The 26,217-nt window shown below is 47.2% G+C and overlaps 1 protein-coding gene and 1 pseudogene across 5 annotated transcripts, besides 2 other annotated features; both read left to right on the top strand.

Annotated features, from left to right (window-relative positions):
* Window positions 75-164: an enhancer, noted in NCBI's record as "active region_4852". NCBI's record gives its function as "activates an Ori minimal core promoter by ATAC-STARR-seq in GM12878 lymphoblastoid cells {active_cell/tissue: GM12878}" and the evidence as "EXISTENCE:reporter gene assay evidence [ECO:0000049][PMID:35858748]".
* Window positions 75-25,266, top strand: STX5 (syntaxin 5). 5 transcript variants are annotated; one of them, NM_001330294.2, is made up of 11 exons: window positions 75-172; window positions 1,016-1,107; window positions 4,495-4,565; window positions 4,728-4,783; window positions 4,901-4,971; window positions 6,587-6,703; window positions 6,787-6,843; window positions 7,009-7,090; window positions 7,561-7,667; window positions 7,839-7,960; window positions 24,498-25,266. In NM_001330294.2, the coding sequence occupies exons 2-11, from the start codon at window positions 1,045-1,047 to the stop codon at window positions 24,655-24,657; spliced, it is 906 nt and encodes a 301-aa protein (NP_001317223.1). In that variant the 5' UTR covers window positions 75-172; window positions 1,016-1,044; the 3' UTR covers window positions 24,658-25,266. The 5 variants fall into 5 exon arrangements, with proteins under 5 accessions (NP_001317223.1, NP_003155.2, NP_001231595.1 ...); NM_003164.5 differs by having other exon boundaries at window positions 864-1,107; NM_001244666.3 differs by having other exon boundaries at window positions 864-1,107; window positions 24,460-25,229.
* RNU6-118P (RNA, U6 small nuclear 118, pseudogene) lies at window positions 16,059-16,160 on the top strand (annotated as a pseudogene).
* Window positions 26,168-26,217: an enhancer, noted in NCBI's record as "active region_4851". NCBI's record gives its function as "activates an Ori minimal core promoter by ATAC-STARR-seq in GM12878 lymphoblastoid cells {active_cell/tissue: GM12878}" and the evidence as "EXISTENCE:reporter gene assay evidence [ECO:0000049][PMID:35858748]".

The following is a 26,217-nucleotide window of genomic DNA, read 5'->3' as shown; positions in this document are numbered from 1 at the left end:
CTGGGCTTGAAACGCGTGGGACCGCCCCCTCGTCACTGGGGGTGGGGTTACGTGTAGGTGACGTGGCCGCTTCCAGTCTTTGGTCGGGTTTCGGCGGCTTCAGTGCTCGGGGAGGAGGCAGTGACGGCCGGTGAGATTGGAAGTGGCGGCGGCGGCAGGCGGCAGAGGGGAGGTAAGATTCGCTTTAAGAGGGGATCTGGCCGCCGTGTCAGCTCTGGGGCAGTGGTTTTACGGGGGCGACGACTGGCGGGGGGAAGGGAATCAGGGGCGAGCGGGCAAGTCCTGCCGGCCCGGCTCCGGGTGAGCGAATTCCTTGCCGTCCAATCAGGAAAGCCTCTGTTGAGAGAGACGTCGGCCTTAGCTAATGAGTGGTTGAAGTCTTCCAGAAGGCGGACCTTGGGCGGGGGGTGGGACTTCCTGTTTCAAATAAACACCCAGAGGTTTTCCCCCTCCGCCCACCGAAGTGTGTCAGTCTTTGGAGGTCCGTCACTGGCCCTCCCGGAGGGGCCGAAGGAAACCGCGGAAACGAAAGGGCTGGGTTAGGGCCCGGGGCAGTTACACGGGCCGGGCCGGAGTCTCAGGACCACGGGGTTGGCTCTGGCCCTGTCTCTGCTTCAGGGTCCCCGGCCCGCGCTCTGGCCGCCAGAGCCAAGTTGGAAGAAGAGTCTGAAGCGGGTTCGACTTGGGACAGGGGAAAAGCGGGGCCCTTTCCGCTGCTGGTCCGCCCCAGGATTTGCGAGCGTCCTGGGCGCGAAAGTCCACGAGAAGTGCAGAAGGGGCTCGGGGATTTGTTGATTGGGGTGGGGCGGGGGAGTTTGGGTAAAGAAGTTGCCTGGGGAATGACACTCTCCCCTCCACAACAGTCCGAGGTTATGCGTCTCAATGATCCCGCGGAAACGCTACGGGTCTAAGAACACGGATCAGGGTGTCTACCTGGGTCTCTCAAAGACACAGGTCCTGTCCCCTGCAACTGCTGGCAGTAGCAGCAGCGACATCGCCCCTCTGCCCCCCCCAGTGACCCTCGTCCCTCCCCCTCCCGACACCATGTCCTGCCGGGATCGGACCCAGGAGTTTCTGTCTGCCTGCAAGTCGCTGCAGACCCGTCAGGTAAGGACCTGGAGTGGAAAAGGCGAGGAGTGAGCCTTACTCAAATCTAGGAAGGACTGTGCTCCACCACTGTTAACCGAAGTAATTTTGGGGGGTACCTGATGGAACTGATAGGCTTGGATGGGGCCTGTAGGGTCTGCTATAAGCAACAGAGAAGAGGTCGGCTGGCTAACTAGGGGCAAGGACTTAGACTTTTTTTTGTGAGGAATCCTTTGGAGGGCAGGATTGCTATTCTGGAGGGAGTACTTCAGAGAGTACTTGGCTGCAATATAATTGGTGTGAATAAGGAACAAGTTCTAGGAAGAGCCTTTAGCTGAGAAACATGCACCTTGAATTTTCCAATATACTTCTACCATAAGTTTGCTCTGTAACCATGAGAAAATTAGTTAATCTAGTTACATATTAGTTTTTATCTCTGTAAGATTAAGGACATTTTCTAGATAAGTAATTTGTTGTTTTTGTTTTGTTTTGAGATCTGTTTTTCAACTCTGTCAACAGGCTGGAGTGTAGTGGTGTGATGATAGCTCACTTGCAGTCTTGAACTCCTAGACTCAAGGGATCCTCTTTCCTCAGCCTCCTGAGCAGCTGGGACTACATGGATGCACCACTCAGCTAATTTTAAAATTTTTTCGTACAGGCAGTGTCTCACTATGTTGCCCAGGTTGGTCTGGACACCACACCTGGCCCTAGATCAGTAATTTGTATCAAAATCACTTAGGGTTGGATGTGGTGGCTCATACCTGTAATTCCAGCACTTTGGGAGGCCTAGGCCAGAGGATGACTTGAGGCCAGGAGTTAGAGACCAGCAGGAGCAACAAAGCAAGACCCTGTTTCTACAGGAAAAAAAAAAAAAAAAGCTGGACGTGGTGGCATGTGCCTGTAGTCCCAGCTACTTAGAAGGCTGAGCGAGGCCCAGTCTCTTCCTCTCTCTCTTTTTTTTTTTTTTTTTTTTTTGAGAAGGAATTTTGCCTTGTCGCCCAGACTGGGGTGCAATGGTGCAATCTCGGCTCACTGCAACCTCCTCTTCCTGGGTTCAAGCGATTCTCCTGCCTTAGCCTCTCGAGTAGCTGGGATTACAGGTGCCCGTCACCACGCCCGGCTAATTTTTGTATTTTTTTTTAGTAGAGATGGGGTTTCACCATGTCAGGCTGGCTTTGAACTCCTGACCTGAGGTGATCTGCCCTCCTCAGCCTCCCAAAGTGCTGGGATTACAGGTATGAGTCACCACACCTGGCCTCTCTCTCTCCTTTTTTGGAAACATGGTCTCACTCTGTCACCAAGGCTGGAGTACAATGGTTCTATCTCATCTCACTGCAACATCTGACCTCCTGGGCTCAAGCAACCCTCCTGCCTCAGGCTCCTCAGTAGCTGGGATTATAGGCATGTGCCACCACATCTGGCTAATTTCTGTTTTGTTAGTAGAGATGGGGTTTTACCATGTTGCCCAGGCTGGTCTCGAACTTCTGGGCTCAAGTGATCCGTCTGCTTTATCTTCTCAAAGTGCTGGGATTACAGGTGTCAGCCACTGCACTCAGCTCCTCTTAAAAAAAATTTGGGAGTGCTATTTATTTATTTATTTATTTATTTATTTTTGAGATGGGAATTTCGCTCTTGTTGCCCAGGCTGTAGTGCAGTGGCACGATCTTAGCTCACTGCAACCTCCGCCTCCCGGGTTCCAGTGATTCTCCTGCCTCAGCCTCCCAAGTAGCTGGGATTACAGACATGCGCCACCATGCCTGGCTAATTTTGTATTTTGAGTGGAGACGGGGTTTCTCCATATTGGTCAGGCTGGTCTCAAACTCCCGACCTCAGGTGCTCTGCCCGCCTCAGCCTTCCAAAGTGCTGGGATTGCAAGCGTGAGCCACCGTACCCAGCCGGGAGTGTTTTTTTCAACAATCCCAGTGGGACCCGAGTAAGCAGTTTGTGTTTGTTTGTTTGTTTGTTTGTTTGTTTGTTTTTGAGACAGTCTCTCTTTGTTGCCAGGCTGGAGTGCAGTGACGTGATCTGGGTTCACTGCAGCCTCCACCTCTGGGTTTAAGTGATTCTCCTGCCTCAGCCTCCCAAGTAGCTGGGAATACAGGCGGTGCCAGGACACCCAGCTAATTTTTGTATTTTTAGTAGAGACGGGGTTTCACTGTGTTCGCCAGGATGGTCTCTGTCTCTTGACCTCGTGATCTGCTTGCCTCGGCCTCCCAAAATGCTGGGATTACAGGTGTGAGCCACTGCACCTGGCCAAGTAACTGTATTTATTTATTTGTTTGTTTGTTTGTTTATTTATTTATTTATTTATTTTGAGACGGAGTCTCGCTCTGTCACCCAGGCTGGAGTGCAGTGGTGGGATCTTGGCTCACGGCAGCCTCCACCTCCCAGGTTCAAGTGATTCTCCGGCCTCAGCCTGCTGAGTAGCTGGGACTACAGGTGCATGCCACCACACCTGGCTAAATTTTTGTATTTTTAGTAGAGATGGGGTTTCACCATGTTAGCCAGGTTGGTCTCAATCTCTTGACCTCGTGATCCGCCTGCCTCAGCTTTCCAAAGTGCTGGGATTACAGGCGTGAGCCACTGCACCCGGCCGAGTAACTGTATTTTTAAATATTTTTACTGATGGCTGGACATGCTGGCTGGCACCTGTAATCCCAGCACTTTGGGAGGCTGAGGTGGGAGGATTGCGTGAGCCTAGGAGTTCAAGACCAGCCTGGGCAATATAGCAAGACCCTATCTCTACAAAAAGTTAAAAATTAGCTAGGTGTGGTGGTGTGCCCTGTAGTCCCAGCTACTTGGGAGGCTGAAGTTGGAGGATCACTTGAGCCCAGGATGTCGAGGCCGCAGTAAGTTATGATCATGCTACTATATTCCAACCTGGGAGACAGAGTGAGACCCTGTCTCAAAAACAGAAAAGTTATAAAGAAGTGTTTTTCAGCTCATGGTAAAGCTGCTCTTCTGTATGATCTCCAAGAGCTTTGCAATCATCCTTATTGATTTCCTGATTTGAGGAATAGAATGGCAATACTAGATACCATTTATTTAGTGCTTACTATGTACCAGGTAGTTGACTGAAGTACTTTTCAGCCTTTTTGTTATTTAACCTTAGCAACAATAGGAGATGTGTGGATTGTCTTCATTTTATAGAAGAGAAAGTAGAGATTTAGAATGTTTTAAGTAACTCGCCCCAAATCCACCAGCTAGTAGTAAGTGGTGAGTCAAGATTTGAACTCAGGTCTACCTGCTCTTCAAATCTGGACTCTAAACGACTACCACTCATAAATCTAGATCATCTGATGGATGCCACCAGCACTAGAGATAGGTTAGTGGACACCTCAGGAAGAGTGAAAGCTGGAACTGGGGAAGGGAGAACTAAAGTTGTCACCTCCTGCCATTGCTTTTCAGAATGGAATCCAGACAAATAAGCCAGCTTTGCGTGCTGTCCGACAACGCAGTGAATTCACCCTCATGGCCAAGTGAGTTGAGAGAAGCTTTCTGGTGGGGTGATACAGTGTCTGAAGAAAAGTAGACTTGCAATCAGTGGCCTTGGCTGTGAAGTCTGGGATTGGTTATGCTGGAGCTTATGTGGGAAAAGGCGTCCTGCCCTTTCCCACAGTCTGACTAGTGGTCATTTGCAGGCGCATTGGGAAAGACCTTAGCAACACATTTGCCAAGCTGGAGAAGCTGACAATCTGTGAGTGTTCTTGGGGTCTTTCAGAAGTGGGGCAGTAAATCAAAGAGGGTTGAGGACTATATTCCCTGAGCTTTGTCCTTGACCTCACCCATTGTGGCTTCTTGTTTGTCTCTGTAGTGGCAAAGCGCAAGTCCCTCTTTGATGATAAAGCAGTGGAAATTGAAGAGCTAACATATATCATCAAACAGGTGAGCTACTAGCCATCAGGAGAGCCCAGCATTCCAATCAGATCACTTCTGTCTTCCTGTCATTTTCCATTGCCATGGGGACCCAGAGCAAGTTTCTTTTTTTAGAGAGGGGGGTCTCACTGTGTTGACCAGTCTGGAGTGTAGTGGTGTGACCTAGCTCACTGCAGCCCTTAACTCCTGGCCTCAAGCTTTCCTCCAGCCTGAGCCTCCTGAGTGGTAGAGACTACAGGGACATGCCCTCATTCCTGGATAATTTTTTTTTTTTTTTTTTTTTTGAGGCAGAGTTTTGCTCTTTCACCCAGGCCGGAGTGCAGTGGTGCGATCTTGGCTCACTGCAACCTCCACCTCCCAGGTGCAAGCGATTCTCCTGCCTCAGCCTCCCCAGTAGCTGGGACTATAGGCACCCGCTACCAATGACTGGCTAATTGTTTTATCTTTAGTAGAGACGGGGTATGCCAGGCTGGTCTCGAACTCCTGACCTCAAGTGAGCCGCCCACCTTGGCCTCCCAAAGTGCTGGGATTACAGGTGTGAGCCACTGCACTCGACTGTAATAATAACTTTTATTTTATTTATTTATTTATTTATTATTATTTTTTGAGACAGAGTTTCACTCTTGTTGCTCAGGCTGGAGCACAGTGGCGCGATCTCAGCTCACTGCAACCTCTGTCTCCTGGGTTCAAGTGACTCCCCTGCCTCAGCCTCCCGAATAGCTGGGATTACAGGCACGTGCCACCGCGCCCGGCTAATTTTGTATTTTTAGTAGAGACAGGGTTTCTCCACGTTGGTCAGGCTGGTCTCAAACTCCTGACCTCAGGTGATCCGCCCACCTCAGCCTCCCAAAGTGATGGGATTACAGGCGTGAGCCACCGCGCCAGGCCAATAATAACTTTTTTTTTTTTTAAGACGGAGTCTCACTCTGTCGCCAGGCTGGAGTGCAGTGGCGCGATCTAGGCTCACTGCAACCTCCACCTCCCAGGTTCAAAACGATTCTTTTGCCTCAGCATCCCAAGTAGCTGGGATTATAGGCGCGCGCCACCACACCCAGCTAATTTTTGGTATTTTTAGTAGAGATGGCATTTCACCATGTTGGCCAGGATGGTCTCAATCTCTTGACCTCATGATCTGCCTGCCTTGGCCTCTCAAAGTGGTGGGTTTACAGACATTAGCCATTGAGGAATTGTGTGTATGAAAATAGTTCTGTTGATGCCTCTCGAAACTACAGTGCCTTTGACTCTTCCCTTTTCCTGAGTACTGTCCGGGGGCTTTGTTGGTCATGCCCTAGACCCGAGATTTTGGCCTTTGAAAGGGTTCTGTGGCCAAGAGCATGGCCTCACAGAATGGAGCAGGGCAGTAGGCTGGAGGAGTAAACAAGTTATTTACAATGGATGAAGGCCTATTTTGCCTCTTTGTAGCTCTTCTCTGCAGGGACTGAGCCAGAGCAAACACTAGACCTTGGAAAATCCTAGCAGGCCCATCTGGTCTGACTGTCTGAGATACTCTCACTCTGGCTAGTAACTTCCACCTTGTCCTTCCTACCAGAGATGGCCATCGTGAGAGATGCTGACTAAGGACTCCTTGGCTAATACTTTGTTTTTCCTTGGACTCTTTTACCAGGACATCAATAGCCTCAACAAACAAATTGCTCAGCTCCAGGATTTCGTGAGAGCCAAGGGCAGCCAGAGTGGCCGGCACCTGCAGACCCACTCCAACACCATTGTGGTCTCCTTGCAGGTGGGACCTGGGGAGGAAGGGAGGGAGGCAAAGAGGAAGAATGTGGAGCCTTCTTTGGTTGACCCTCTCTCCTTTTCTTCTAGTCGAAACTGGCTTCTATGTCCAATGACTTCAAATCGGTTTTAGAAGTGAGGACAGAGGTGAGAACAATCTGCGTAGGAGGGGTAGGAATATGGGAGTAAAGATCCAAGAGGGAAATGAAGAAGGGACAAGTTCTACAGGGTCATGGGGCCAATGGTGGGAGTCTCTTTAACATGCCTGCTTTCTAGTGGCTTCAGGTCCTTTGCGTTTTTCCCCAACCCCAGAACCTGAAGCAGCAGAGGAGCCGGAGAGAGCAGTTCTCCCGGGCACCTGTGTCAGCCCTGCCCCTTGCCCCTAACCACCTGGGTAAGTCACAGGTAAAACGGGGAGCCCTGGGAGGTAAGGTTACTTACTCTGGTTGTGATGGCATCCTCTAAAGGCACGGGTTGGGTAGGAGAGTGGAAGGTCAAGGAATTTTCTAGGCTTTATCTCTCAGAGGCCAAACCAGATGGTTGAGATTCGTGATCCACATTTAGACTCCCACATTCTCACTGTTGGGGTGAATTCAGTTATATTCAGAATAATGATAATTTCTAATTTTTTTTCGTACACTTTATTCACATTCTCTCATTTAATTTTCACAACCACCCTTTGAGAAAGCAACTATTATTATCCCCCATTTTACAGGTGAGGAAACTGAGGCTCAGAGAGGTTAAATGACCTGTCCAGGGTCACAAGGCTAGTAAGTGCTAGAGCTGGGATTCAAACCCAGAGCATGTGGGCTTTGAACCTGCTTTTAACTGTTAAGGTGTGCCACATCCTGTTTTCTCCCCCAGGCGGTGGTGCTGTGGTTCTGGGGGCAGAGTCCCATGCCTCCAAGGATGTCGCCATCGACATGATGGACTCTCGGACCAGCCAGCAGCTGCAGCTCATTGACGAGCAGGTACCCAGGCTCTGAACTAGGTAGAATCAGCTTCTCCATTATCCTCTGTGGTTCCCGAGAGAGTGTTTGGAGTGTGCCATGGGCAGAATGGCAAGCTGGGAGGGTTGTAAAAATGCAGGTCTGACCCTGAAGAAGCTGTTGGTGCTCATGTGCTCTCTCCCTCTCCTGAAGGATTCCTACATCCAGAGTCGGGCAGACACCATGCAGAACATTGAGTCGACAATTGTTGAGTTGGGCTCCATCTTTCAGCAGTTGGCACACATGGTTAAGGAACAGGAGGAAACCATTCAGAGGTGAGATACACTCTCTCGCCCCAAACAGAGGAGCTTTCTCTTCCCCGTGGATTGGCATCTTAAAGTCCCCAGGGACTGCTTGATGCCTTTTGGAAGATAGAGTGAATTCTGCCCACCCATGGGACCCAGTTCACCTGCTTCCATCCACCCAACAAGTTTTTATTGAGCACCTGTTCATGTGAGGCACTGTTCCAGGTGCGGGAGATACAGTGGCAAGTAGAACAGTAAAGTCTGTCTGGAGCTGCTTTGTAGCATGTGTAAGTGTATGGAATTTGATAGGGCAGATGAGGACAGCTGTGGAAAAGAACTGACAAGGCTGGCACAGTGACTCACACCTGTAATCCCATAGGCAGCACTTTGGGAGGCCGAGCAATGCAGATCGCTTGAGTTCAGGAATTCAAGACCAGTTTGGGCAACAAAGCAAGACCCTGTCTCTACAAAAAAATACAAAAACTAGCTGGGCATGGTGGCATGGGCCTGTAGTCCCAGCTACTCGAGAGGCTGAGGTGGGAGGATGGCTTGAGCCTGGGAGGCAGAGGTTGCAGTGAGCCAAGATCGTGCCACTGCACTCCAGCCTGGGTGACAGAGCCAGATTCTGTGTCAAAAAAATAAAAATAAAAAATTGACCAACAAAATTTCAGGGAGTAATAAAGGCTGTATACAGAGTTAAAATAGGATGATGTGTTAAGAAAGTAATGGATGGGTACGGTGGCTTACACCTGTAATTCCAGCACTTTGGGAGGCCCACACAGTCAGTTGAACTCAGGAGTTCAAGACCAGCCTGGGCAACATGGTGAAACCCCATCTCTACAAAAATAAAAAAATTAGCTGGACATGGTTGCGTGTGCCTGTGGTTCCAGCTACTCGGGAGGCTGAGGCGGGAGGATGACTTAAGCATGGGAGGTTGAGGCTGCAGTGAGCCATGATGGAACCACTGCGCTCCAGTCTGAGTGACAGAGCAAGACCCCATCTCAAAAAAAAAAAAGAAAGTGACTAAGTAGGTATATCAGATTGTGTGGTAGGGAATGCTGCTCTGAAGACATGACATTTAAGCAGAGACTTGAATGACAAGAGGGATCCAACCAGGCAAAGAACAGAGAGTGTTCTAGGCCGAGGAGACAGCTAGAGCAAAGCCTTGTGATGGGACAGTCTCACCATAGCAAGAATCAAGAAGGCCTGCGTGGCTAGAAAGTAATGAACAGGGATAGAGAAGTACAGGGTGTACTGGAGGGATGTAGGCAGAGGCCCAACAATGGGCTGGCCTCTCTGTTCCTCTGGTGCCTCCTGCTACTACAAGAGTTTTTATCTGCTCCTCCTCTGTGGTGCTTAGCATTCAGTCAGTCAGTTATGGGAATATAGCAGTGGACAAAAGAGACAAAATCCTTGCCCTTGTGGAACGTGTATCCTAATAGGGAGATAGATGTGAAAAAGTCATAATAAATAGTATGTTAAAAAAAAAAAAGGTCGTAAATGCCAAAAAAAAAAAAAAAGATAGTCAACACAGGATAAACTAATCAGGAGTGCCAGGTTTGGAGGGAGGTAGGCCCTATTAAGAAGGTGGCATCACACTTGGGAGAAGGTGAGGAAATTAGCTACATAGACCCTGGCAAAGGCCCGCAGGTGACAATATGTTTGATGAGTTAAAGGACAGCAGAGACTACTGCAGCTGGGATCAATGAGGAAGAGAGTTGTACAAGGTGTGGTCAGAGGGGAACTGTGAGACCTCTTGGGACCATTGGTAGGCTTTAGCTTTTACTCTGAGTGACATAGGGAGCCATTGCAGGGGTTAGTTTTTCTGTGTTTGAGACAGAGCCTTGCTGTGTCGCCCAGGCTGGAGTGCAGTGGCATGATCTTGGCTCACTGCAACCTCCACCTCCTAGGTTCAAGTGATTCTCATGCCTCAGTCTCCCGAGTACCTGGGACCACAGGTGTGCACCGCCATGCCCGGCTACTTTTTGTATTTTTAGTAGAGACAGAGTTTTGCCACATTGGCCAGGCTGGTCTTGGACTCCTGGCCTCCAGTAACCTGTCCACCTTGGCCTCCCAAAGTGCCGGGATTACAGGTGTGAGCCATCACAACTGGCCAAATACATTTAACTTTATTTATTTATGCATGTATTTATTTATTTATTTTTATTTTTGAGATGGAGTCTCACTCTGTCGCTAGGCTGGAGTGCAGTGGCAGAATCTCGGCCCACTGCAACCTCTGCCTCCTAGGTCCAAGTGATTCTCCTGCCTCAGCCTCCTGAGTAGCTGGGACTGCAAGTGCGTGAGACCACGCCCAGCTAATTTTTGTATTTTTAGTGGAGACAGGGTTTCACCATGTTGGCCAGGATGGTCTTAATCTCTTGATGTCATGATCCGCCCACTTCAGCTTCCCAAAGTGCTGGGATTACAGGCATGAGCCACCATGCCCGGTGTTAATTTTATTTTTATTTATTTATTTACTTTTGAGGTGGAGTTTCACTGTTGTCCAGGCTGGAGTGCAATGGCACCTCTCGCCTCACTGCACCCTCCGAGTTCAAGCAATTCTCCTGCCTCAGCCTCCCGAGTAGCTGGGATTACATGCACCCACACCACTCCCAGCTAATTTTTGTATTTTTAGCAGAGATGGGGTTTCAGCATGTTGGCCAGGCTGGTCTCGACCTCCTGACCTCAGGCAATCCGCCCACTTCGGCCTCCCAAAGTGCTGGGATTACAGATGTGAGCCACTGCGCCTGGCCACATTTAACTTTAAAACAAAAAGTATAATAGTGTATACTCTGGGATTTGTAAAGTACATAGATACAACAAATTTAACTGTAGAATAAAGGATGAAGCAAGAGGGTTTCAAGATTTTGACAGGTTTTTCTTTTTTTTGAAATGGAGTTTCGCTCTGTTGCCAGGCTAGAGTACAGTGGCTCGATCTCAGGTCACTGCAGCCTCCACCTTCCAGGTTCAAGTAATTCTCCTGCCTGAGCCTCCCGAGTAGTTGGGATTATAGGTGCCCACCACCATGCCCAGGTAATTTTTGTATTTTTAGTAGAGACAGGGTTTCACCATGTTGGCCAGGATGGTCTCGATTTCTTGACCTTGTGATCTGCCTGCCTCGGCCTCCCAGGGTGCTAGGATTACAGGTGTGAGCCACCGCACCTGGCCTATTTTGACAGTTTTTATGAAGTAGGCTGTGAAAAGTTAATAAGGTGTATTTTGTAATCCCTAGAGCAACCATTGAAATAAAACAGAAACTCAACAATGACATATAGCAAGAAGAGCAGCAACCAAATTGAAATGGAAATAGAATTTTAATCAAAATTTCAATTAATTCAAAAGAAGGACAAGAGAGGATAAACAGAGGAACGAAAAATAGAAAATAGTGCCGGGTGCAGTGGCTCACGCCTGTAATCCCAACACTTTGGGAGGCCGAGGCAGGCGGATCATGAGGTCAGGAGATCGAGACCATCCTGGCTAACATGGTGAAACCCCGTCTCTACTGAAAATAGACAAAAAATTAGCCGGGCGTGGTAGTGGGTACCTGCGCAGCTGCTTGGGAGGCTGAGGCAGAAGAATGGTGTGAACCCAGGAGGCGGAGCAGTGAGCTGAGATCGCGCCACTGCCCTCCAGCCTGGGCAACAGAGTGAGACTCCATCTCAAAAAAAAAAAAAAGAAAAAGAAAATAGTAAAATGGCAGCCCTAAATCCAACCTTATTAAAAATTACTGCTGGCCTCAAGTGATCTCCCCACCTTGGCCTCCAAAAGTGCTGGGATTACATATGTGAGCCACCACACCTGGCCAGATTCCGCCCTTTTTTTTTTTTTGAGACAGAGTCTCGTCGTGTTACCAGGCTGGAGTGCAGTCGCGTGATCTCGGCTCACTGCAAGCTCCACCTCACAGGTTCACGCCATTCTGCCTCAGCCTCCCGAGTAGCTGGTACTACAGGCTCCCGCCACCACGCCCGGCTAATTTTTTTTGTATTTTTAGTAGAGACAGGGTTTCACCATGTTAGCCAGGATGGTCTCGATCTCCTGACCTTGTGATCCGCCCGCCTCGGCCTCCCAAAGTTCTGGGATTACAGGCATGAGCCACCGCACCCGGCCGATTCTGCCCATATTTTAATCTCCGTCCCAGACCTGTCTCCTAAACTCCATATATCCATATTCCTGTTCAACAACTCCACTTACTGGCCTGGGAGCGGTGGCTCATGCCTGTATTCCTAACACTTTGGGAGGTTGAGGCGGGTGGATCATTTGAGGTTCAGGAGTTTGAGACCTGCTTGGCCAAAATGGTGAAACCGCATCTCAACTAAAAATACAAAAAAAAAAAAAATAGCTGGGCATGGTGACACATGCCTGTAATCCCAACTACTCAGGAGCCAGAGGTGGGAGAATCACTTTAACCTTAGAGGCGGAGGTTGCAGTGAGCCGAGATCGTGCCATTGCATTCCAGCCTGGGCAGCAAGAGCAAAACTCTGAAAAAACAAAAACAAAAACACAAGCTGGGCGTGGTGATGCACATCTTGGTCCCAGCTACTGTTCCCAGTAGCTGAAGTCTGAGGCAGGAGGATCTCCTGAGCCCTGGGGGCGGAGGTTGCAGTGAGCAGAGATTGGGCCACTGCACTCCAGCCTGGGTGACAGCAACACCCTGTCTCAAAAAAAAAAAAGTATTAAAAAGTTAAATGTATTTTAAAGAAATTAAGAGGAAGACTTGGTAATAGTGCTCACATATTTACCATCTTCAGTGTTCTTCATTCCTCCTTGAATAGATCTAAGTTTTCCACTGGTATCTCTTCCCTTTATCCTGAAGAAGCACTTCCTTTGGTTTTTTTTTTGTAGTGGAGATCTGCTGACAACAATTTCTTTCAGTTTTCTTTCATCTGAAAACTGAAATCTTTTTCACTAACTAAATCAAAACTAAACTTTTTTCACCTTCTTTTTTTTTTTTTTTTTTTTTTTTTTTTTTTTTTTTCAGACAGAGTCTCACTCTGTTGCCCAGGCTGGAGTACAGTGGCACGATCTCGGCTTACTGCAAGCTCTGTCTCCTGGGTTCACACCATTCTCCTGCCTCAGCCTCCTGAGTAGCTGGGACTACAGGCGCCCACCACCATGCCCGGCTAATTTTTTTTGTATTTTTAGTAGAGACGGGGTTTCACCGTGTTAGCCAGGATGGTCTCGATCTCCTGACCTCGTGATCCACCTGCCTCGGCCTCCCAAAGTGCTGGGATTACAGGCACGAGCCACCGCACCCGGCCTCACCTTCATTTTTGAAGGATGTTTTCTCTGGATATAGAATTCTGGATATACAGTTGTTTTTTCTTTTTTTTAACTTTTTATTTATTTTTTCCTGAGACAGGGTCTCACTCTCTTGCCCATGCTGGAGTGCAGTGGCACGATCATGGCTCACTGCAGCCTTGACCTCCCACCTCAGCCTCCTGAGTAGCTGGAGCTACAGGCATACACCACCACACCAGGCTGATTTTTTTTCTTTTTTTTTTTTTTTGGTAGAGACGGGGATCTCACATGTTGCCCAGGCAGGTCTCAAACTCCTGGGCTCAAGAAATCTTCCCACCTTGACCTCCCAATGTGCCTGGCTCATACAGATTTATTCTTTTTTTTTTTTTTTTCTGAGACAGAGTTTTTGCTCTTGTTGCCCAGGCTGGAGTGCAGTGGTGCGATCTCGGCTCATTGCAGTCTCCACTTCCTGGATTCAAGTGATTCTTGTGCCTCAGCTTACCGAGTAGCTGGGATTACAGGCAACCACTAGCATACCCAGCTAATTTTTTTTTTGTATTTTTAGTAGAAATGGGGTTTCACTATGTTGGCCAGGCTGGTTTTGAACTCCTGACCTCAAGTGATCCTCCCACTTCCGCCTCCCAAAATGCTGGGATCACAGGCATGAGCCACAGCACCTGGCCCTATCATGTCTTTTTTTTTTTTTTTTTTTGAGATGGAGTTTCACTCTTGTCACCCAGGCCAGCATGCAGTGGTGCGATCTTGGCTCACTGCAACCTCTGCCTCCTGGATTCAAGTGATTCTCCTGCCTCAGCCTCCTGAGTAGCTGGGATTACAGGTGCCCGCCACCACGCCTGGCTAATTTTTTGTATTTTTAGGAGAGATGGGGTTTTGCCATGTTGGGCAGTCTGGTCTCGAACTACTGACCTCAGGTGATCCGCCCACCACGTGAGCCACCACACCCAGCCTCTGAGTTTCTTTTATGTGTAAATTTGTCTTTAAATTTAGGAAGTATTTGGCTATTATTACTTTAAACATTTTTCTGCCTCTTTCTGTCCTTACCATCTGGAAATATATACATATATATGTTTCCAGGTACATGTCTTATATAATAAGTTTATATTTATTTTATGTATATTTTCAGGTCAATCTGCTGTTAAGCCCATTTGGTGAATTTTTTTAGATAATTTTCAGTTTCAAATTTACACTTGGTTCTTTTTTAGAGATTATGTTTCTCTGCTGTGATTTACTACCTTCTTAGTGAGTACAAGCATATTTTCCCTCAGTTATAATAGCTGCCTTAAAATTTAATTCTCATCATCTGGATTATCCTAGGGATGGGGCCATTCATTGCCTTTTCTCTTCTGTATGGGTCACAGTTCCCTGTTTCATTGTATATCTACTAATTGAGGATTTTATCGTACATGTTATTGATATGAAGAGTCTGGATTATGTTATGTTTCTATAAAGAATGTTGACTTTTTTGTTTTCGCAGGCAGTTAACTTGGCTGAACTAAGATCATTGTTTTTTATATTTCCTCTGTGGTTTATGTAATTTATGGAATGATTGGTATAATAGGAGGTACCCAGGCATTACTGGAAGCAGAACCTCGAGGATTGAGAAATAGTCATTGGATTCAGCAATGTAGATATTGTTGGTGACTTTGAGTCAGATTCAATAGAGGGATGGAAGCAAAAGCTCGAATGCAGTGGCGTTTAAGAGAGAATGAAGCTAGCCATGGTGGCTCTTGCCTGTAATCCTAGCACTTTGGGAGGCTGAGGCAGGTGGATCACTTGAGGCCAGGAGTTCAAGACCACCCTGGGCAACATGGTGAAACCCCGTCTCCACTAAAAATACAAAAAAATTAGCTGGGCATGGTGGCGTGTGCCTGTTATCCCCAGGAGGCTGAGGTTGCAGTGAGCCGAGATCCCGCCACTGCACTCCAGCCTGAGTGACAGAGCAAGACTCTGTCTCAAAACAGAAAAACAAACAAACAAGAATGAGAGAGAGCAATTAGAAAGAGTAGGAATAGATGAATAGACAGCTCTTTCTTTCTTTTTTTTGAGACAGAGTCTTGCTGTGTTGCCAGGCTGGAGTGTAGTGGCGCAATCTCGGCTCACTGCAACCTTCGCCTCCCAGGTTCAAGCGATTCTCTTTCCTCAGCCTCCCGAGTACAGTCACGTACCACCACACCCCATACCCAGCTAATTCTTCTTTTTTTTTTTTTTTTTTTTCAGTAAAGGCGGGTTTCACCATGTTAGCCAGGGTGGAGAATGGACAGCTCTAAGAGTTTTGCTTCAAAATGGAGAAAGGAAATGGAGTAATAGCTGATAGGAGGAAGTTATTCAGAAGTTTTCTTTTTTCGTTTTTTTACTATGAAAATTTGGGGGTTAGGCAAAGTTAATCCTAGTGCTCTGGGAGTTCAAGGCGGGAGGATTGCTTGAGGCCAGAAGCTCAGGACCAGCCTAGGCAACATAGCAAGACCCTATCTCTCCAAGAAAATGAAAAATTAGCCTGGCATGGTGACATGCCTGTAGTCCTAGCTATTTAGGAGGCTCAGCGGAGAAGATCACTTGAGTCTAGGAGTAGGAGGTTACAATAGGCTATGATGGTGCCATTGTACTACAGCCTGGGCAATAGAGTGAGACCGTATCTCTAAAAAATTTTTTAAAATAAAAATTTTAAGTTTACCAGTAAGTTGAAAGAACCATAATAAACACTAATATAGCTGCAACCTACATTCAACAGTTAACAGTTGGCCAGATTAGCTTTATCTTTATTTTTCTGAACCATTTCACAGTAGGTTGCCGATATCGTGACACTTAATCCTTAAATATTTTAACATGCGTCTCCTAAGAATACACAAATTCTTTTTAAAAACCACATCCAGTACTCACTTCAGCAGGACATATATTAAAATTTGAATAATACAGAGGTTAGCATGGCCTCTGCACATGGATGGCACAAATTTGTGAAGCTTTCTGTATTTTTTATTACCTGGGTGATGAGATAATATGTATACCAAGCCCCAAGACACGCAATTTATTTATAGAACCAACCTACACATGTACCCCTGAAACTAGAATAAAATTTAAAAATTAAATAAAAAAATAAAAACCAGACTGGGCGCGGTGGCTCACACCTGTAATCCTAGCACTTCGGGAGGCCAAAGCGGGCGGATCACCTGAGGTCAGGAGTTTGAGACCAGCCTGGCCAACATGGAGAAACCCCATCTCTACTAAAAATACAAAAATCAGCTGGGCATAGTGGTGCATGCCTGTGGTCCCAGCTACTTGGGAGGCTGAGGCAGGAGCAGTGCTTGAACCTGGGAGGCAGAGGTTGCAGTGAGCCGAGATTGTGCCACTGCACTCCAGCCTGGGCGACAGAGCGAGACTCTGTCTCAAAAAATAAAAAAAAAAAAACCACGCCGTTATCCTATCTATGAAAATTAGCGATTTCCTAATATTATGTATTATTCAGTGAGTGTCACAACAGAGTGATACTCTGTCTCAAAAAATAAAAACCACACCCAGTTATGTCTGTGAAAATTAATGATTTCCTAATATTATGTATTATCCAGTGAGTGTTACGACAGAGCGATACTCTGTCCTAAAAAATAAAAAATAAATAAAATAAAAACCACACCCGGTTGGCTGGGCATGGTGGCTCATGCCTGTAATCCCAGTACTTTGGGAGGCCAAGGCGGGCGGATCACAAGCTCAAGAGATCAAGACCATCTTGGCCAACATGGTGAAACCCCATCTCTACTGAAAACAGAAAAATTAACTGGGCGTGGTGCTGCGTGCCTGTAGTCCCAGCTACTCGGGAGGCTGAGGCAGGAGAATCGCTTGAACCTGGGAGGTGTAGGTTTCAGTGAGCCGAGATCGTACCACTGCACTGCAGCCTGGCAAGAGAGCAAGACTCCATCTCAAAAAAAAAAAAGACACCCAGTTATCCTATCTGTTAGAATTAACTATTTCCTAATATGTGATATCCAGTGAGGGTTTACATTTTCCCAGTTGTCCCCAAACTGTTTAATAGCTTTTTAAATATTAAATCAGAAAGCCAGGCATAGTGGCTCACACCTGTAATCCCAGCACTCTGGGAGGCCGAGGCAGGCGGATCACCTGAGGTCGGGAGCTGGAGACCAGCCTGACCAACATGGAGCAACCCCGTTTCTACTAAAAACACAAAATTTGCTGAGCGTGGTGGCGCATGCAGGAAAATCACCTGAACCCGGGAGGCAGCGGTTGCGGTGAGCCAAGATTGCGCCATTACACTCCAGCCTGGGCAACGAGCGAAACTCCATCTCAAAAAAAAAAAAAAAATTAGCTGAGCGTGGTGGCACCTGCCTGTAATCCCAACTATTTGGCATGCTGAGGCAGGAGAATCTCTTGAACCTGGGAGGCGGAAGTTGGGTGAGCCGAGATCACGCCGTTGCACTCCAGCCTGGGCAACAGAGTGAGACTCTTATCTAAAAAAAAAAAAAGGAAGAGTCCCGGGTGCGGTGGCTCACACCTGTAATCCCAGCACTTTGGGAGGCAGAAGTGGGTGGATCACCTAAGGTCGGGAGTTCGAGACCAGGCTGATCAACATGGTGAAACCCATCTCTGCCAAAAATACAAAATTAGGGCGTGGTGGTGCATGCCTGTAATGCTAGCTACTTGGGAGGCTGAGGCACTAAAATCACTTGAACCCAGGAGGTGGAGGTTGCAATGAGCCAAGGTTGTGCCATTGCACTTCATCCTGAGCAACAAGAGCGAAACTCCATCTCAAGTAAATTAATTAAATTCTTCCTCTTTTCTGAGCATCGCTATAGGCTTTAATTATAGGTTTTAATGTATTGGTTGTCTTATTATTAGTTAGGGCAATGATTATTGTGAGTGCTCAAGTTGTTCCAAATATGTCTGGTGGGAGCCTAGAGGGTTTAAAAGGCTGAGAGAAAATAAAGGTATGTTAGCATGCCAATGGAAATGATGCAACGGATAAATTTAAAAATGATAATATAGGAGAAAGATGGGAGAATTCTTGAAATGATGTCCTTGAGAAGGTGAAAGGAAGTGGGCTCCGGGGCATAAATCAAGGCTTGGCTCTAAGAGGAGCTGGCGATAGGTGGGAAGACAGAGGCTATTGTAGCAATGCTCGGGGTGGAGCGGCATTTATCTTCAGACCACTTCAGTCTTCTCAGCTCATTAAGAAGAAAAGCCAGTAGAGGAGAGGAGGTGTAGGAGGTTTTAGGAATCCACTCCTGCCCACTTGATCTTATCCCTTTAGCAGGGTCCAACCCTGATTGATCTTTATTCCCCACGGTATCTAGCAGAGTGCTTTTACTCTACGTTGTTGATCATGTGAAACTGAGTGAACACCTACATTTGTATAAAGCCGGTTTCTGAACATCAATCCACTAAGCAGCCTCACACATTTAACTGGCCAAGGTAAAAGAAAACACTTGGAGATTCTGATTCGAGAGATGTGAATGGAGTGGGCTTTTCAGGGAGCTTCATTTTTACAAATTCCATAGGGGGTTCTGATGAGCATCCAGGTTTGGGAACTACTGATTAAAAGAAAGTTTGTTTATTCAACTACTATATGTTGAGCACCAGCCATTTATAAGGTACCGTGAGTACAGCTGTCTTGATCCTAGAGTCAGGAGAATTGACTGATTTTTTTTGTTGTTGTTTGTTTGAGACAGTCTCACTCTGTCACCCAGGCTGCAGTGCAGTGGCATTATCTTGGCTCACTGCAACCCCTTCCTCCCAGGTTCAAGTGATTCTCCTGCCTCAGCCTCCCGAGTAGCTGGGATTACAGGCATGCACCACCATGCCTGGCTAATAATTGACTGATTTTTTTTTTTTTTTTTTTTGAGACGGAGTCTCACTCTGCCACCCAGGCTGGAGTGCAGTGGCAACCTCCGCCTCCTGGGTTCAAATGATTCTTCTGCCTCAGCCTCCCAAGTAGCTGGGACTACAGGCACGAGCCACCATGTCCGGATAATTTTTGTATTTTTAGTAGAGATGGGGTGTCACCATATTGGCCAGGCTGGTCTTGAACTCCTAGACCTCGTGATCCGCCCACCTCGGCCTCCCAAAGTGCTGGGATTACAGGCGTGAGCCACCGCACCCGGCCTAATTGATTTTTATCTATTTCAGCTGAGACCTAGGGAACCCCTTGCAGAATTATGCCATAAACACCATAGCTCCCTGAGCTATGTTGTATTTTGAATATTAGAATATTAAGTCTGGGCGTGGTGGCTCACGCCTGTAATCTCAGCTCTTTGGGAGGCGAGACAGGCGAATCACGAGGTCAGGAGATCGAGACCATCCTGGCTAACACGGTGAAACCCCATCTCTACTAAAAAAAATACAAAAAAATTAGCCGGGTGTGGTGACCGGCGCCTGTAGTCCCAGCTACTAGGGAGGCTGAGGCAGGAGAATGGCGTGAACCCAGGAGGCGGAGCTTGCAGTGAGCCCAGATCACGCCACACGCCACTGCACTCCAACCTGGGCAACAGAGTGAGACACCGTTTCCAAAAAAAAGAATATTATAGAGTCAGTGAAACAGAATTATAAAAGATATGGAGGGCCAGGCGCAGTGGCTCATGCCTGTAATCCCAGCACTTTGGGAGGCCGAGGCGGGCGGACCACCTGAGGTCCAGAGTTTGAAACCAGCCTGACCAACATGGAGAAACCCTGTCTCTACTAAAAATACAAAATTAGCCAGGCATGGTGGCGCATGCCTGTAATCCCAGCTACTCTGGAGGCTGAGGCAGGAGAATGGTTTGAACCCGGGAGGCGGAGGTTGCTGTGAGCTGAGATCGCACCATTGCACTCCAGCCTGGGCAACAAGAGCAAAACTCCATCTCAAAAAAAAAAAAAAAAAAAAAGGTATTTGAGTTCTTTCCTCAATCCATATACATCTAAAATAAAGTTATAGCATATAGGCAACTTTACATTCTAGTCTTCCTTGAAACAGTGTCATAAGTATTTTTCACTGTTAGCATGTGTTTGCTCATTGGTTTAGCAAACATTTGTTGCTGCTGTGAGCTAATCCTGCTGGGTCTGAGGATAAAAGGGTGAAAGACCATTCTGGTCCTCCTGGAGCTCACTAGTAGGAGAGACATAAGTTGACAGTGACAGCTCAGTATGATAGGGCAAGAAGAGAAGGGGATGAGGCTGGGTGTGGTGGCTCATCCCTGTAATCCTAGCACTTTGGGAGGCCGAGGCAGATTACTTGAGGCCAGCAGTTCAAGAAAGCCTGTGCAACACAGAGACCCCGTGTCTATTAAAAAAAAAAAAAAAGGGATGAGAGAACTCAGAGTAGGTACTGCTCCTAGATGGGGCCAAGGGGCCTTCCCAGAAGTGATACCAAGCTAAGACTTGGAGGGAATGCCAGCCCAAAAAGGGGAAAGGAGAAGCTGTTCCATGTGAGGAAAAAACAGCACAGAAATGAGAAAGAACTTGGTAGATACAGGAGTGCAGAATTATTCAGCATGGCTGGGGGAGTGGTGAGAGGCAAGGCCAGGTCACAGATAACCTGTGTGTCACAGCAAGAAATTTGGTGTCAGGGAGAGAACATAAGAAGAAGCAAGCGGATTGATGCTGGGTGAGAATTAGGTTTGTTCTGGGTGTGCTGAGTGCCTCAGACTTCATGGGACAGCTAAATGACAGAGTTTAGTAGGCATTTCATGTTCTGATGTTTGGAAGAGAAGGCAGTGCTAGAGGTAAGGACTTAGGACAGTGGCCTCTTGGTGAAACCCTGGGCATAGACCACCCAGAGACTGGGTAAAGTGAAAAAAAGGTCAGGACAGATCCCCCATGGAGTCAGGGGGTATGTAGAGAAGGGAAGAATCTGGCCAGACTGAGGAGGAAGGTTGAGGAAGATGAGAGAAGAAAGCAGAGAGAGAAATGTGTCCTTAGAACTTGGGATAGAAGAATTTTAAGGAGTGGTTATTTCTCCTTGCTCCTGAGAAAGAAAGTTCGAGGTAAGGATGTGTTTGAGTCAGGAGGGGCTTGAATTAATTGGATCAGTGCCAGTATTTTCAGTGGAATGGCTCAGTAGCAATTTTACAGTATGTTGGAGCATAAAAGAAATAAGGAAGTAGAATTTATGGGCAACCATATACAAAATAAATTTATGAAAGGATGCCATCTTTAAAATAGGTGTAGACATTCATATGCTTCCTCCCTGCATGCCAGTGGATCTGGGTTTCAGCACTTGCTCTAGAAACCACTGATTAAGTCTGAAGTTTTTTGGGATGCAGATTCTTGGGCCCCAACCTAGAATTTCTGGTTGTGACACTTGAGAATTTTTATATTTGAGAATTCAACAGGTGATTCTTATTTTTCCTAAGGTGTGAAAACCACTGATCTAATGTTGCTCAGTCATTTTCCTTTTCACCTCATAAAATATTCAAACTACAGAAAAGTTGGGAGGATAGCACAATAAACACTCATATTCCCTTCACCTGTAGTCACTAACTTTTTTTGTTTTCATATTTGTTTTTTTCTTTTCTTTTGAGACAAGGTGACACTCTGTCACTCAGGCTATAGTGCAGTAGCGCAATAATGGCTCACTGCAGCCTCAAACTCCTGGGCACAAGTGATCCCCCCACCTCAGCCTCCCCAGTAGCTGGGATAACAGGTACATGCCACCATGTCCAGCTAATTTTTAAATTTTTTTGTAGAGACAGAGTCTCCTATATTCCCCAGGCTGTTCTTGAACTCCTGAACTCAAGCAATCCAGCCACCTTGGCTTCCCAAAGTGCTGGGATTACAGGCGTTGGCCAGATCTGGCCACCAATTGTTAACATTTTGTCACTTTTTTTCTTTTTCTTTCTTTTTTTTTTTTTTTTTTGAGATGGAGTCTTGCTCTGTCACCCAGGTTGGAGTGCAGTGGTGCGAGATCTCAGCTCACTGCAATCTCCGCCTCCCGGGTTCAAGTGGTTCTCCTGCCTCAGCCTCCTGAGTAGCTGGGGTTACAGGTGCACGTCACCACATCCAGCTAATTTTTGTATTTTTAGTAGAGACAGGTTTTCACTATGTTGGTCAGGCGGGTCTCAAACCCCTGAACTTGTGATCCGCCCACCTCAGCCTCCCAGAGTGCTGGGATTATCGGCGTGAGCCACCACATTCAGCCTTTCCCCTCTTTCTTTTGCCGAATTATTTGAAAGTAGGTGCAAATTTCATGCTGTTTTATTCCTAGATACTACAGCATGCTAATAATAAGGCATTCTCCTGAACAGCCATAATGTCTTTTTTTTTTTTTTTTTTTTTTTTTTTTTTTTGAGACAGAGTCTTGCTCTGTTTCCCAGGCTGGAGTGCAATGGTGCGATCTCCACTCACTGCAAGCTCTGCCTCCCAGGTTCACACCATTCTCCTGCCTCAGCCTCCTGAGTAGCTGGGACTACAGGCGCCCGCCACCACGCCTGGCTAATTTTTTGTATTTTTAGTAGAGACGGGGTTTCACCGTGTTAGCCAGGATGGTCTCCATCTCCTGACCTCGTGATGCACCCACCTCGGCCTCCCAAAGTGCTGGGATTACAGGTGTGAGCCACCACGCCCTGCCCATAATGTCATTTTCAAACTAAGAAAATTAACAGTTCTCCAACATGATCCAGTAATCAGCCCATGTTCAAGTTTCCCCATCTGATTTTTTTTTTTTTTTTTTTTTGAGACGGAGTCTCGCTCTGTCACCCAGGCTGGAGTGCAGTGGCACGATCTCGGCTCACTGCAAGCTCCACCTCCTGGGTTCAAGCCATTCTCCTGCCTCAGCCTCCCGAATAGCCGGGACTACAGGTGCCCGCCACCATGCCCGGCTAATTTTTTGTATTTTTAGTAGAGACAGTGTTTCACCATGTTAGCCTGAATGGTCTCAATCTCCTGACTTCGTGATCGGCCTGCCTCGGCCTCCCAAAGTGCTGGGATTACAGGTGTGAGCCACCATGTCCGGCCCCCATTTGATATTTAAAACAAAAGTTTTTATCTTTTTTCTTTCAATTTAAGACCCAGGAAGATTCACATTTTGTATTTGATGTGTGTCTTCAGTGGGCCTTTTGTTTTATTTTTCATGACATCAACTTGTTTTGTTCAATGTTAAATTAAATCTAACACTGATTAAATTAGTGCTGCGATGATTACATTAGTAGGCACTTGATGAGGTTATCCCTTTTATTGCTGATGTCAATTTAATCACTTGTTCAAGGTGCTAACTATCAGATTAAGCACACTCATCCCTTGGTATTGTGGGGCATTGGCTCCAAGAGCCCCAGAGGAAACCAAAATCCATGCATCCGCAAGTCCCATAAAATCTTGTCATATTTGCATGTAATCTACTCACATCCTCCAATATACTTATTTATTATTATTTTTTTAGTAGAGACAAGTGTCTTACCATGTTGTTCAAGCTGGTCTCCAACTCCTAGGCTCAAGTGATCCTCCTGCCTGGGCCTACCAAAGTGCTGGGATTACAGCCTGGCCAAAACTAGGGTCCATATACCTTTTTTTTTGGTGTTTTTTTTTTTTTTTCCCCCTGAGGCAGTCTTGCTATGTCACCCATGCTGGAGTGCAGTGGCACAATCTCACTGCAGCATCAAGCTCCTCAACCTCCTGGGTTCAAGCTATCCTCCCACCTCAGCCTCCCGAGTAGCTGGGACTGTAGGGTCACACCAGCACACCCAGCTAATTTTTGTATTTTTTGCAGAGATGGGGTTTTGCCATGTTGCCTAGGCTGGTCTCAAACTCGTGAGCTCAAGCCATCTGCCCACCTCAGCCTCCCAAAGTGCTGGGATTACTGGCCTGAGCCACCATGGTTGGCCATAGAGCTTTTTTTATCCCCTGATTTCCTGTCCGTGTCATTATGTTTTCCTTTTTCACTCAGAACCATGATTTCCTGACTGCAATGGTCTGTGAACATTTTTCCCCTTACAATAAATATAATACATACTCACCAGATAAAAATGTAAATACTGATGAGGAAAAATTGTAACTAACATTTTCGGGGCTCTTGTGGGTTAGGGACTTTATACTAACTCATTGAAGACAGACAGTAGCCTGAGAGAAGGTAGGGTTTGGGTTATCCTCATTTTGCCGGTGAGGAAAATGAAGCTTGAAGTTAGACTAACTTAGAGTCTTAAGCTAATAAATGGCAGAGTTGGTTTTCAAACCAGAAATAACTTGTTTATAGTACCCTTCCAAAGCCTTTTCTATACACAAATATATATAAGAATGGGATCATATTGTGACCATCTTTCCATGTCAATAAATGGACTTCAACAGCATTCTTTTTAATCCAGTGTCCTTTTGTTTCCTCTTCTCCCGGCCTTGTCCCCAGGATCGACGAGAACGTGCTAGGAGCCCAGCTGGACGTTGAGGCCGCCCATTCAGAGATCCTCAAGTACTTCCAGTCTGTCACCTCCAACCGGTGGCTCATGGTCAAAATCTTCCTCATCCTCATTGTCTTCTTCATCATCTTTGTGGTCTTCCTTGCTTGAACCCTCTCTACTCTGAGGCACTCTGTTGGGGTTTGGGACCCTCCTGGGAAGGCAAGTGGCCAGTGCTGCCACTGAGCCTGTGCAGGGTACTTGGGAGAAAGGCCCTGTTTCCCTGGAACTGCTAAGAATGACCACTGCCCCTGATCCCCCACCCCTTGCCTCTGGCCACCCTGTCCTCCCCCCACCACCCTCAGGCCTATGAAACACACAGGGTTCTAGATTTGAACTCTGCTGTGAAGTGACTGGAAGGGAGCAGAGGCCAGCTGGGGGCCAGTGGGGGAGGTTGTTTCCACTAGGAGATTTTTATAAACCCTCTCCAGCCTCTCCCAAAGGAAGCGTTGGCAGCAAAGGGAGATGATGCCCTTACCCACCTTCCTGTGAGTGAAGAGAGGAAGCAGCCCCAGGGACCAATTTTCCCAATTGACCTCTTTCTTCCTCTTTCACCATGTGAGGCAGGGAGCCCTGAGCCCTTCAGCTGCCTGCACAACCCCTGACATTGGCTGCTGGTGACTCAATCTGCCAAATGTGCTGCAGCTCGTTTTCTCCCAATTACAGCAAGACTGTCAGCCTCACTAGCCATGTCATCATTTCTGGGTGGGAGCGTCGAAGGGCCTAGGCAGCGAGTGGAGAGAGCCCACTGCCCAGTACCAGAACTGAAAGGGTTGGGCTAATGGCTCTGCCAGGTATCACTGCTGACACAGGCTATTTTGGGCTCTGACACACAGCTGCCTCTAGGCAGGGGAGAACCAAGTGTTGCAACACTTCATTAGCGTGGAAACTTCCTTTCACACAGGGGAGCAGGATCCCAGAGGGGGTCCCTGATTGGGGGCAACTTCCAGGACTATCTCAAGCAGTGTTTGGACCTGTTTCATCTGTATCCTCCAACTATTTGGCCGTAATTCTTCCTTGAGCTAAGCGAGGCAGAAGCTCTGCCTGCTTCCAGGAGTGGAAGGTGAAGAATTTGTTCCCAACTCCAGTTGAGGCTTTTGATTCCCTCCAAGCACTTCACCAAATCAAAGCCAGTCACAGAGAATGGAGACACCTGCCCAGAATACCCACCGTCCAGGGAGATTAGTGTGCTTTGTTCTTCCTGACCGAGACTCACAACCACATTCTGAGGTCACTCGAGTGCCCCTGTCTCATACATTCCAAAGGAAGTTGAAGCTATAGAGACAACAGTCAGGGGCTGGTGGTGGTGCTTTTGGGGGTCTAGGAGAGCCCAAGGCCCTGATATTTTAAAATGTCCTCCTCGGCATCTCCAGCAAGTTGCCACTGCTGGTGAGCTTCACTGTCTGCCCCGTTGACACGATGGGTTTCTAGTAGGGGACGCCATTGATGGAAGGTCTGTGAAGACAATGCTCGCCAAACCCCTGACAGATGTCGTATCATTTGACTCAGCAACTCAGGGCGGGGCGGGGTGGGGGAAATTCATAACACAAATTCATTTATTTCACAAATATATGTTGAGTTTTTACCATGTGCCAGGCATAGTACCTGCCGAGTCAAGCCCTCGAGGAAAAAAAGCCCTTAATTAGTCAACGTTCGAGCTCACATTCTAAT

This window comes from Homo sapiens, chromosome 11 (genome assembly GCF_000001405.40).
Source record: "Homo sapiens chromosome 11, GRCh38.p14 Primary Assembly".
Classification (NCBI taxonomy): domain Eukaryota; kingdom Metazoa; phylum Chordata; class Mammalia; order Primates; family Hominidae; genus Homo; species Homo sapiens.
Note: the sequence above shows the minus strand (reverse complement) of the source record. Positions and strands in the feature narration are given on the sequence as shown.

Bases quoted from the DNA above. Each gene is read 5' to 3' on its own strand.
- STX5 (NM_003164.5), top strand. From the start codon at position 883: ATGATCCCGCGGAAACGCTACGGGTCTAAGAACACGGATCAGGGTGTC. The intron at 4,972-6,586 runs GTGAGCTACTAG...CTCTTTTACCAG, and splicing joins TAACATATATCATCAAACAG to GACATCAATAGCCTCAACAA. The intron at 6,704-6,786 runs GTGGGACCTGGG...CTTTTCTTCTAG, and splicing joins CCATTGTGGTCTCCTTGCAG to TCGAAACTGGCTTCTATGTC.